This window comes from Homo sapiens, chromosome 17 (assembly GCF_000001405.40).
Source record: "Homo sapiens chromosome 17, GRCh38.p14 Primary Assembly".
Lineage (NCBI taxonomy): Eukaryota > Metazoa > Chordata > Mammalia > Primates > Hominidae > Homo > Homo sapiens.
Window position 1 is genome coordinate 1,825,858 of NC_000017.11, and position 12,201 is coordinate 1,838,058.

Below are 12,201 nucleotides of genomic sequence, written 5' to 3' on the forward strand. Positions count from 1 at the left end.
ATCCTAAGGAAGACAGGAGGATCGCTTGAGCCCAGGAGCTTGAGGTCAGCCTGAGCAACATACTGAGACCTTGTGTCTAAAAATAAATTTTAAATGAAATTTAAAAATTTGAAACATATATACACAATTTATATACAATGTAAATGTAAAACATTTACATTGTAAATAGGGTAAAAAAGATAAACAGATTGGGAATAATTTATACAACAAATAGTAACTTACATAGCAAAGAACTATACAGCTAGATTTATGAAGATCTCCTACAAATGAACAAGAGAATAAAGACAACCTGCTAGAAAATGGGCAAGGGACACAAATAGGCAATACACACGAGAAATAAAAATGCACTGGGGGGCCGGGCGCAGTGGCTCATGCCTGCAATCCCAGCACTTTGGGAGGCCAAGGCGGGCGGATCACCTGAGGCCAGGAGTTGGAGACCAGCCTGCCCAACATGGCGAAACTCCATCTCTATTAAAAATACAAAATTAGCCGGGTATGGTGGAATGCGCCTGCAATCCCAGCTACTCGGGAGGCTGAGGCAGGAGAATCACTTGAACTTGGGAGGCGGAGGTTGCAGTGAGCCAAGACTGTGCCACTGCACTCCAGCCTGGGCAACAAGAGCAAAACTCTGTCCAAAAAAAAAAAAAAAAAAAAAAAAAAAGAAAAGAAAAGAAAAGAAATGAAGACTAACAAAAAAAGTATAACCCTAACTGTACCGAGTATCTGAACTGGCAAGGCTCAAAACTGAACTCATTATTTCATTCAATTAATATACGAGCGCCTACTATGTGCCTGGCACAAAGATAAAGACATCAACCTTGAACGTGAAAGGTGTGTGTTTCTGGATCTGCAAATATATAAGGTTCTGCTTTATACGTCATTTTAAGCACTAATAACAGCCAGTAACTAAACTAAGAACTTTATATACATTACCAAGTTGTCATTCAATTAATGTTTACTAACCACTTATTTTTTGACACTGCACTATTTTTGTCTATAGAAAGACAAACAGGCCGGGCACAGTGGCTCATGCCTGTAATCCCAGCACTTTGGGAGGCTGAGGCGGGCGGATCATTTGAGGGCAGGAGTTCAAGACCAGCCTGGCCAACATGGTGAAACCCTGTCTCTACTAAAAATACAAAAATGTGAGCTGGGCATGATGGTGTACGCCTGTAATCCTAGCTATTTGGGACGCTGAGGCATGAGAATCGCTTGAACCCAGGAGGTGGAGATTGCAGTGAGCTGAGATTGTGCCACTGCACTCCAGACTGGGTGACAGAGTGAGACCCTGTGTCAAAAAAAATAAAATAAAATAAAAATAAATAAATAAATAAATTAGCCGAGCATGGTGGTGTGCGACTGTAATCCCAAATACTCGGGAAGCTGAGATACGAGAATTGCCTGAACCCGGGAGGCGGAGGCAGTGGGCTGAGATTGCGCCACTGCACTCTAGCCTGGGTGACAGAGCGAGACAGTCTCAAGAAAAAGAAAAAAAGAAAAAAAAAAAAAGAAAAACAAATACAAACACGGTCCCTTCCCTCATGAAGTTCACAATCTAGCGGCAAAGGCAGGCATTAGTCAAAAGAGCACACACATATATAAAGGAAAATCACACAGCATTGTAAATGTACAAAGAGTGAAGATGGCCCAGCTGAGGCTCAGGGAGAGCTTTCCTGAGGAAAGATCTGGCTAATCCTGCAGGATGACAGAAGTGAATTAGTTCACAGGACACGCTGGGATAGAAACGAACCAGGAAAAGTACTTCAGGCATTTTCCATCAAAAAGAGATGTTACCAGGCCAGACATGGTGGCTCACGCCTGTACTCCCAGCACCTTGGGAGGCCAAGGTGGGAGGATTGCTTGAGCCCAGAAATTTGAGACCAGCCTGGGAAACAAGCAAGACTCAATCTTTATTTAAGAAAAAGACACATTACTTCAGAGCAAATGACAAAATAGAACATTTTTTGGCTCACAATTCCCTTGTTAAAGCTTGATTTACTTACTGAAGAAGTGAAGAGGAGTGAAGAAAGATATCCCTCAAGGTCTCTGCTGTAGAAATTGTGACCTGAACAGACGTCGGGAGTGAAGCCCACTTTTGAAGCAGATATGATTTCCATTCATCCACAGGCAGATCCATGCTGCTTTTGATCTATAAAATGAGTAAGAAAATAGGAATCTTACAAATGCACAATTTTAGAAAATCAAGAGTTCAGCCAGGTACGGTGGCTCACACCTGTAATCCCAGCACTTTGGGAAGCCGAGGTAGGTGGATCACGAGGTCAGGAGATGGAGACCATCCTGGCTAACACAGTGAAACCCCGTCTCTACTAAAACTACAAAAAAATTAGCCAGGTGTGGTGGCGCACACTTGTAGTCCCAGCTACTCGGGAGGCTGAGGCAAGAGAACTGCGTGAACTGGGGAGGCGGAGGTTGCAGTGAGCTGAGATCACGCCATTGCACTCCAGCCTGGGTGACAGAGCAAGACTCTGTCTCGGAAAAAAAAAAAAAAGGAAAATCAAGATTTCATTCAAGGAAGCCTGAAACAATAAAATCAATTCTTGTGGTCTTTTCCTCTAGTTTATATGCTAAGGAAGGATCTATATTTTCTCACAGCAATTCACTCAACATCCTTCCATTCAGAAATATTTACTGAAAGACTACTTTGTCACAGGCACCATGCAGGTGATGGTTATACAAAGACGAAGCAGACTAGATAGCTACCATCTGTGCTCTTAGATCCTCTTTTTTTTTTTTTTGTGAGGCAGAGTCTTGCTCTGTCACCCAGGCTGGAGTGCAGTGGCACCATCTCGGCTCACTGCACCCTCCGCCTCCCAGGTTCAAGCAATTCTCCTGCCTCAGCCTCCGAGTAGCTGGGATTACAGATGCGCGCAACTACGCCCGGCTAATTTTTGTATTTTTAGTAGAGACGGGGTTTCACCATGTTGGCCAGGCTGGTCTCGAACTCCTGACCTCAGATGATCCGCCAGCCTTGGCCTCCCAAAGCGCTGGGATTACAGGCGTGAGCCACCGCGCCCGGCCTGATCCCTCTCTAGTTTCTCTGAGACACATCCCAGATTTTTCTTTCTCACCCACCCCAGCAACTATTCATTTAACAAGGTATTTCCCTCTCTTACATAGTTCAGCGTTCTGATTAAGTCCTCACCATCTCGTCTGGCATTCTTCCTAGAGTGTTATAATTAATGTCCATGCCATTGGCACCACTCCCCACTTTCAATCCAGCCTCCAACACTGAGACAGAAGTCAGTGCTCTGCCCTTAAATTCATCAACGCTACTCCAAGCATACCAGGAAGCCCAGGACAAAACCATCCTTACTTGACCCTTGTCTGACTTTCTAATTCTCAGGTGTCACTTACTCCTCTGCATGCACCCTTGCATACTGAACAACTCATTGCTATCCCCGGCTTGCCAGGCTATTTCAACTCTCCAATGTTTTGGCATAGGCTACTCATGCTTTCCGGACCAACCCTACCCTGGCTTATGGAGTCCACCTGGAAAATTCCCACACGTTCTTCGACTCGGCTCAAATGGCACCTCCTCCGGGACGGCGTCCCTGATTTCCCAGCTGTGATTCCAACACCCTTGGGGCCTGTACCACGTCTACCTGGAGGTGGGGTTACTGACGGCATAAAGTGCCCCCACACACTGTCCTCTTCTCTAAGGACGGGGGCCGGGTCTGATTCCCTTTCGGAGACCCCCCACCCCCACCCCCCACCGCCACGGTGCCAAGCTCAGGGCTTGGAGGCGGGAAGTCAGCCCCGCGTTGCTGGACGAATCGGGTCACTACTGCGACTCTATTTAGCAGCGGAGGTCTCAAGGAACAGCTTTAACCTCCTCTGGGATACCAACCCGTGCACTCGCCAGAGACCGAGGCGAGAACGCCTCGAGAACCGCTCAGACGCGCCCGGAACTGCGCCCTGGTCTCCCTCCCAGCGCCCGCGCAGCTCCTGGCGCGCCCCTTGGCGCCCCGCTCCGCCCCGCACCGCGTCCGGCGTCCCGCGCCAGGCCTCGCTTGGGACCATGGGTGGGTCACGTGGGCCGCGCCTCGGCCAATGCGGCGGCTGCGTAGCGCCCGGGCCCGCCCCTGAGCCGCGCGCACGTCGGGGGCGGGAGCGGTGCGCGCAACTTCTCGGGCCAATAACTGCGCAGCGCGCGGGACCCGGGTGGGGAAGCTGGAGCTGTTGCGGGGTCCGCGGGGAAGTCTTGGCGGTGGAGCCATGGTCGGCCAACTGAGCGAGGGGGCCATTGCGGTGAGGAGGTGCCGGGGGCTGGGCCGGCGGTCCGGGGTGGCTGCGGCCCCGAGCCTCGCGGAGTAGAGAGGGGGAGGGGAGCCCGGGGCGACGGGGGATGAACGCGAGGGGAGGAGATGGCGGGGGGCGGTGGGGACCCGCCGGGCGTCCCTCTAGTGTCATCGCCCCCTCCTCAAAGCATTCTTTCGATCGTCTTTAAAACATGCTCACATTTTTCCTACGTAAGAACAAACTAAATAAACGCTTGCCTTTCTCTGCATCTTCCACCTGCGGACACTTTCTGTCTCTTCTCCTTTCCCCACCCACAGCCAAACTTCTTGTCTGGTTTCAGCCACTTCCTTTCCTCGCCTTTCATCAACTCTTTAACCCACTCCAGTCATCCCTTTGATCGCTGTAGAAAACCCTGGCTGAAGGTACCAGTGGCCTCCAAGTTGCTAAATCCAGCCCTTTTCCGTTTTCAGCTTACCTGAGTTCTCAGCAGCGTTTGCGTTTAAGCCCTGCTTGCTTCAGGTCACACCCTCTTCCTTGGTTTTTAGTGGCTCAGCTTGGCAGGTCTATCCCCGTCTTATTTGTAAGTCCCTCTTTGTAAATTTTTGTTGAATCAAGGCTCCCTCTAGGCCCTCTTGACTCCCGAGGCAATTTCTTTTTTTTTCTCCAGCCTGGGCGACACTCACTGTCGCCCAGGCTGGAGTGCAGAGGCGCGATCTCGGCTCACTGCAACCTCCGTCTCCCGGGTGCAAGTGAGTCTCCTGTCTCAGCCTCCCGAGTAGCTGGGACTACATGTGTGCGCCACCACACTCGGCTACTTTTTGTGTTTTTATTAGAGACTGGGTTTCATCATGTTGGCCAGGCTGATCTCGAACACCAGACCTCAAGTTATCCGCCCGCCTCGGCCTCCCAAAATGCTGGAATTACAGGCATGAACCACCGCGCCTGGCCCCAAGGCAATTCCATTGCCATCTATTAATATATGTCAGTTGCTCACAAATTTCTTTGTACAGAGCCACCTTTACTCTAAAAGACAAACTTCCGTCATCTGTCTGCTTATTCCATGCTTCAGAGGGTTTTAAGTTCAGTATACGTATCCCAAAGCAAATTCTTTATCTTTCTAAGTCTGGGCCTCTTGATCCCTATCTCCACGGATGGCACCATTATCTATTCAGTTCAGTGCTAACCAGAAATTGAGAAATCATTCCTCCTATATTGTCCATTACCTGGGCATCCAGTCCCTCACGAAGTGAAGTGTATTTTGCCTCTGCGTAGATCTATCAAGCCCACTGGCTTCTCTCCATCCATACTGGCACCGTCTTTTTTTTTGCCTGAGCTGCTGACTTCCACTCAGCATACGTTCCTGCCACCATTCCCATCCACAGCATACTCTCAGCCTACCTCTCCAGTCACCCCCACATTTTTTTTTAAATTTAGATTTCTGGTATATTCCATACTCCTACCTTCTTCCATGGGGCCTTTGAACTTTTTTTTTTTTTTTTGAGCTGGAATCTTGCTCTGTTGCCCAGGCTGGAGGGCAGTGGCGCGATCTCGGCTCACTGCAAGCTCTGCCTCCTGGGTTCACGCCATTCTCCTGTCTCAGCCTCCCGAATAGCTGGGACTACAGGTACCCGCCACCACGCCCGGCTAATTTTTTGTATTTTTTAGTAGAGACGGGGTTTCACCGTGTTAGCCAGGATGGTCTCGATCTCCTGACCTTGTGATTCGCCCGCCTCGGCCTCCCAAAGTGTTGGGGTTACAGGCGTGAGCCACTGTGCCCGGCCTTTTTTTTTTTTTTTTTTTTTTTTTTGAGGCAGAGTCTCACTCTTTCTCCCCATACCCCCCCACTACCGCCCCAGGCTGGAGTGCGGTGGCGCAATCTCGGCTCACTGCAACCTCTGCCTTCTGGGTTCAGGCAGTTCTCGTGCCTCTGCCTCCAGAGTAGCTGGGATTACAGGCATGTACCACCACACCTGCGTAATTTTTTGTATTTTTAGTAGACACGGGGGTTTCACCATGTTGCCCAGGCTGGTCTTGAACTCCCAACCTTAGGTGATCCACCCTCCTCGGCCTCCCAAAGTGCTGGGATTACAGAAGTGAGCCACCGCACCCGGCCCTGAACATTTTTTTCCCTCTGCCCACTGCCTGGGTGGTTCTTCACTCTTCCCCACACTGGCAAACACTATCTTCGTATCTCAGCTCATTTGTGACTTCCCTTACTAGGCTAAATCCCTTTGAGACCCCAATTCCTGTTCATTCACTTATTGAATTATTTATTTTTTTTCTTTTTGAGATGGAGTCTTGCTCTGTTGCCCAGGCTGGAGTGCAGTGGCACGATCTTGACTCACTGCAACCTCCGCCTCCTGGGTTCAAGCAATTCTCCTCCCTCAGCCTCCCAGGTAGCTGAGAATACAGGAGACTGCCATGATGCCCGGCTAATTTTTGTATTTTTAGTAGAGATGGGGTTTCACCATGTTGGCCAGGCTGGTCTCGAACTCCTGACCTCAAGCAATCCACCTGCTTCGGCCTCCCAGAGTGCTGGGATTACAGGCGTGAGCCACCGCGCACGACCCCATTCACTTATTAGATGCATGACTTGAGGCAAGATACTAAACTGTTTCTTTTCTGTAAAATGAGAGCAATGATATCTATTGCATAAGGTAAGTAGGAGGATGGAGTGAGTTATTAAATTTAAAGTGCTTAGCACACTGATACATAGTAAATGCTCAGTGTTTATGTTACCTATTAATAATTGCAGTTTTATGTTTGTTGATTTATCAGTTTCTTTTTAAAATTTTAAAATTATTGTGTTTGTTTGTTTGTTTGTTTTGAGACAGAGTCTTGCTCTGTTGCCCATGCTGGAGTGCAGTGGCACATTCTCGGCTCACTGCAACCTCTGCCTCCCGGGTTCAAGCGATTCTCCTGTCTTAGCCTCCCTAGAAGCTGGGATTACAGGTGCCCACCACCACACCCTGCTAATTTTTGTATTTTTAGTAGAGACAGGGTTTCGCCATGTAGGCCAGGCTGGTCTTGAACTCCTGGCCTCGAGATCCACCCACCTTGGCCTCCCAGTATGCTGGGATCACAGGCTTGAGCCACTGTGCCTGGCCTAATACTTTGTGTAAATTCCATGAGGCCTGCAATCATGTCTGGGTTATTTTACTCTGCATTGTATCCCCAATACCTGGAGAAGTGCTGGCAAGTTTTAGGTGCTGAATAAATGCTTGCTAGTTGCATGAATGAATGAGGCAGTGGGAAGAAAGGGACAGGTGAATGGGGAAGAAAGGCAGCTTGGGGGAAAAACAGGAACAGGAAGAACTATTGTTGGACTCAAGTGAATATTTAAATAAATTAGGAATGTGTGAATGCTGAAACCGGGGAAGTGATTTTAAATTGTAGCTTTCATTTACTTTATAGCTGCTACCTTGTGTCTTTAAGACAAATTAAGAATGTTTCTAGGCCAGGCGCAGTGGCTCACGCCTGTAATCCCAGCATTTTGGGAAGCCAAGGCAGGCAGATCACCTGAGATTGGGAGTTTGAGACCAGCTTGGCCAACATGGAGAAACTCTGTCTCTATTAGAAATACAAAATTAGCCAGGTGTGGGGGCGCATGCCTGGAATCCCAGCTACTTGGGAGGCTGAGGCAGGAGAATCTCTTGAACCCGGGAGATAGAGGTTCCGGTAAGCCAAGATCGCACCATTGCACTCCAGCAACAAGAGCAAAACTCCATCTCAAAAGAAAAAAAGAAAAGAATGGTTCTTCACTTTTAAAAAGACTGATCATGGGCCAGGCGCAGTGGCTCATGCCTGTAATCTAAGCACTTTAGGAGGCCAAGGCAGGTGGATCACTTGAGGTCAGGAGTTCGAGATCAGCCTGGCCAACATGGGGAAACCCTGGTCTACTAAAAATACAAAATTAGCTGGGTGTGTTGGCGTGTGCCTGTAATCCCTGCTGCTTGAGAGCCTGAGGCAGGATAATTGCTTGAACCCGTGAGGCAGAGGTTGCAGTGAGCCGAGATTGCACCAGTGCATTCCAGACTGGGCGACAGAGTGAGACTGTCTCAAAAAAAAATAAAGAATGATCATGGAGATATTTAAATAATTTGATAAGTTTTTTTATTTTTTAGAGATGGGGTCTCACTCTGTTGCCCATGCTAGTCTCAAACTCCTGGGCTTAAGCGATCCTCTCGCCTCAGCTTCCCAAAGTGCTGTGATTATAGATGTGAGCCACTGCACCTGGCCATGTTTTTATATTCAAAATTTTATAAACCTATTTCCAGCGTAGGTGAAGTATTTTGTTCATAAATGAAGAATGAAAGTTTCACATGTGTTTGTGGTGATGGAATGAGTTGGAGAACCTTTGCTGACTTTCATTATCAGCTAAAGCAGGTATCATTTTCGTTCAAAAGACACAGGCCACAAAGGGTACGCAAATACCACACACATGTGAAGGCGTTTGGGCAAGAGTCACATGATAAAATAAGAGATGATGCATAGAACTCTTGTGGTCAACAGAATACATAGCATTTGTATCTTAATTATATAACGAAAGGGGAAGGGAACTAATGTTTTTGACTATTTCTAATGTGACAGATGCTTTAGTAGTCAGTACTTAAGTAACCCTAGAAGATAGCTATTATACTCCCATTTTACAGAGGAAGGAAGTACAGAGAGGTTGAATAATGTGTCCATGGGGTGAAGATTTGAACACATGTGCCCTTGAGTATTACATTTGTTGCTTTATATACTTACTAGGGATTTTTTTTTTAAAGGGTCTCACTCTGTTGCCCAGGCTGGGGTGCAGAAGCACAATCTCAGCTCACTGCAACCTTCACCTCCCAGGTTCAAGTGATTCTTTTGCCTCTGTCTCTCGATTACAGACGTGCGCCACCACGCCCAGCTAATTTTTGTATTTTTAGTAGAGATGAGGTTTCGTCATGTTGTCCAGGCTGGTCTTGAACCCCTGGCCTCAAGTGATCTGCCGCCTCGGCTTCCCCAAGTCCTGGGATTACAGACTTGAGCCATTGCACCTGGCCGTAATTTTTTTTAAATGACAGAGTCTTGTTCTTTGTCTCTCAGGCTGGAGTGCAGTGGCATGATCATAGCTCACTGCAACCTCCAACTCCTGGGCTCAAGTGATCCTTCCACCTCAACCTCTCCAGTAGCTGGGAGTACAGGTGCATGCCACCATGCCCAGCTAATTTTTTTTTTTTTTAATTTTGTGTAGAGATGGGGTTTCGCCATCTTGCCTAAGCTGGTCTCTAACTCTTGGTCTCCAAACAGTTCTCCTGCCTTGCCTCCCAAGTCTTTGGGATTATAGGCATGAGCCACTGTGCCTGGCCTTGTCCCTTAAAATGAGTTACATTTGTAAACAGCTGATTTCTTTGGAGCATCGTCCCCATATACTTTTCTTTCATAAGTGATCTCATCCTTCTTCCACCCAACCTTCCCCTTGAATTTGTTGTTTGTTGTTGTTTCCATTTTAGCAGAATTCATGTTGCTCTGATAGGGGCTCTTTTCAAACTGATGTCTTATCCTTCTTAGTACCTCAAACTAGGTCTTGTTCAGACATGTTATAACAAGTTAGTATGAGTTTATTTTAGTGCAAAAAAAATTTTTGAAATGCATGCATAGTTTTTTCATAATGCACATTTTTCGTGTACTTTTTGAATCCCCCTCATACATGCACGTGGTTTTAAAATCAAACGGAACAGAAAGGTGTTCATGGCCGGGCATGGTGGCTCACATGTGTACTCTCAGCACTTGGGGAGGCTAATGCAGGAGGATCCCTTGAGGCCAAGAAAGAGTTTGATACCAGGCTGGGCAACATAGCAAGATCCTGTCTCTATTTCATTTAGAAAGAAGAAAGAAAGAGGTGTTTAATGTAATTACTGACCTCCTGCCTTACCTTGTCCAGTACTGTTCCCCAGAATAACTGCTTTTTAGAAAAATCACTGTCATTGACATTTTGCTTACGTATAGTAAATTGCACCTTTTTTATTTATTTATTTATTTATTTGAGGCAGAGTTTCCTCCTGTCACCCTGGAGTGCAGTGGCGTGATCTCAGCTCACTGCAACCTCTGCCTCCCAGGTTCAAGCAGTTCTCATGCCTCAGTCTCCTTAGTAATTGGGGTTACAGGTGCACGCCACCACCTGGCTAATTTTTGTATTTTTAATAGTGATGGGGTTTCACTATGTTGGCCAGGCTGGTCTCGAACTCCTGACCTCAGATGCTCCTCCTGCCTTGGCCTTCCAAAGTGCTGGGATTACAGGCATAAGCCACCATGCCCGGCCAAATTGCACGTATTTTAAATGTACAGCTTGATGAACTTTGACAAATGTGCGCACCCCTGTAACCACATTGCCCCTGTGGAGATATAGAATACTTCCATCAACGCACAACTCCTCTTGCTCCTTCCCCACCTCCATCCTCACCCTAGGCAACCAGTGTTCTGGTTTCTACCTTTGTAGGTTAGTTTTGCCTTTCCTAAGACTTCATATAAATGGAATCAAATAATATCTATCCTTTTGTGTCTGGCTTCTTTCAGCAGTTTTTTTTTTTTCCCCAGAGGTAGGGTCTCTGTCACCCAGGCTGGAGTGCAGCGACACAGTCATGGCTCACTCCAGCCTTGACCTCCTGAACTCAAGAGATCCTCGCACCTCAGCCTCCTGAGTAGCTGGGACTACAAGTGCATGCCACCACTCTTGGCTAATTAAAAAAAAATTTTTTTTTTTTTTTTTGAGACACAGTCTTGCTCTGTTGCCAGACTGGAGTGCAGTGGCGCAATCTCAGCTCACTGCAACCTCTGCCTCCTGGGTTGAAGCGATTCTCTTCCCTCAGCCTCCCGAGTAGCTGGGATTACAGCCGCATGCCACCATCCCCAGCTAATTTTTGTATTTTTAGTAGAGACGGGGCTTCACCACGGTGGTCAGGATGGTCTCGATCTCTTGACCTCGTGATCCACCCGCCTCAGCCTCCCAAAGTGCTGGGATTACAGGTGTGAGCCACCACGCCCGGCCTAAAAATATTTTTTGTAGCGATGGAGTCTTGGTGTGTTGTCCAGGATGATCTTGAACTCCTGGGCTCAAGTGATCCTCCCACCTTGGCCTCCCAAAGTGTTGGGGTTACAGGCACAAGCCACCACTGTGGACCAAAATGGTTTTTGAGATTTACCCATGTTAATTCAGTAATCTGCACCTTTTTATGGCTCAGTAGTATTCCATTGTATGACTATAACAAAATTTGTTTATTTACTTATTATTGCACATTTGGGTTATTTTCATCTTTTGGCTATTATAAATGAAGATGCTATGACCATTTAAGTACAACTCTTTTTGTGGAAATATGTTTTCGTTTCTCTGGGATAAATATCTAGGAATGTAATTGCTGGGTCACAGGTAACTGAATGTGTAAAAGAAATCGCCAACCTTTTCCAGTGTGATCATGAGAATTCTAGTTGCTCCATATCCTTGCCAGTCATCAGTCTTTGATTTCGAGTATTCTAGTGAATGTGTAATGGTATCTCACTGTGCTTTTATTTGTATTTCTCTGGTGGCTAGTGACGTTGAGCATCTTTTCGTGGGCTTACTGGCCATTTGTATATCTTCACGAAAGAAGTGTCTGTTCACATCTTTTGTTCACCTAAAAATTGGGTTTTGTGCTTATTAATGAGTTGTGAGAATTCTTGATTCTTGCTAGGTCTTTTGTTAAATATAAATATTACATATATTTTTTCCCAATCTGTGACTTGCCTTTTCTTTTTTGAAATTTTGTTTTTTTTGAAGTGCACTTTTAAATTTTCATGAAGTCCAAGTTATCAGGTTGTGTTTTTTTGTTTGTTTTTGTTTTGTTTTTTGCAGAGTTGTGTTTGTGTGTCCTAAGAAATCTTTGCTAGGCTGGATGTGGTGGCTCATGCCTGTAATCCCAGCACTTTGGGAGGCTG

General features: G+C 46.8%; 2 protein-coding genes across 8 annotated transcripts in view, besides 2 other annotated features; one reads left to right on the plus strand and one right to left on the minus strand.

The window, feature by feature from the left end:
• The window catches only part of SMYD4 (SET and MYND domain containing 4), a 50,418-nt gene extending 46,373 nt beyond the window's left edge, over window positions 1–4,045 (minus strand). For 4 of the 5 annotated variants that reach the window (NM_052928.3, XM_047435290.1, XM_011523633.3 and 1 more), the window contains exons 1-2: window positions 3,869–4,045; window positions 2,004–2,149 (exon numbers count right to left, since the gene is read on the minus strand). In NM_052928.3, the coding sequence (NP_443160.2) occupies window positions 2,004–2,137 (134 nt within the window). In that variant the 5' untranslated portion in view covers window positions 2,138–2,149; window positions 3,869–4,045. Of the gene's footprint in view, window positions 1–2,003; window positions 2,150–3,491 lie in introns of all 5 variants that reach the window. The other variant, XM_024450560.2, reaches the window with a different exon arrangement.
• Window positions 3,897–4,416: a silencer, noted in NCBI's record as "silent region_7964". NCBI's record gives its function as "represses an Ori minimal core promoter by ATAC-STARR-seq in GM12878 lymphoblastoid cells {active_cell/tissue: GM12878}" and the evidence as "EXISTENCE:reporter gene assay evidence [ECO:0000049][PMID:35858748]".
• RPA1 (replication protein A1) overlaps window positions 4,148–12,201 on the plus strand; it is a 70,078-nt gene continuing 62,024 nt past the window's right edge. For 2 of the 3 annotated variants that reach the window (NM_002945.5, NM_001355121.2), the window contains exon 1: window positions 4,148–4,269. In NM_002945.5, coding sequence (NP_002936.1) covers window positions 4,237–4,269 — 33 coding nt within the window. In that variant the 5' untranslated portion in view covers window positions 4,148–4,236. Of the gene's footprint in view, window positions 4,278–12,201 lie in introns of all 3 variants that reach the window. The other variant, NM_001355120.2, reaches the window with a different exon arrangement.
• Window positions 5,044–5,544: an enhancer, noted in NCBI's record as "H3K4me1 hESC enhancer chr17:1734195-1734695 (GRCh37/hg19 assembly coordinates)". NCBI's record gives its function as "activates a minimal SCP1, AML or CMV promoter by ChIP-STARR-seq in naive H9 embryonic stem cells {active_cell/tissue: H9 hESC(naive)}" and the evidence as "EXISTENCE:reporter gene assay evidence [ECO:0000049][PMID:30033119]".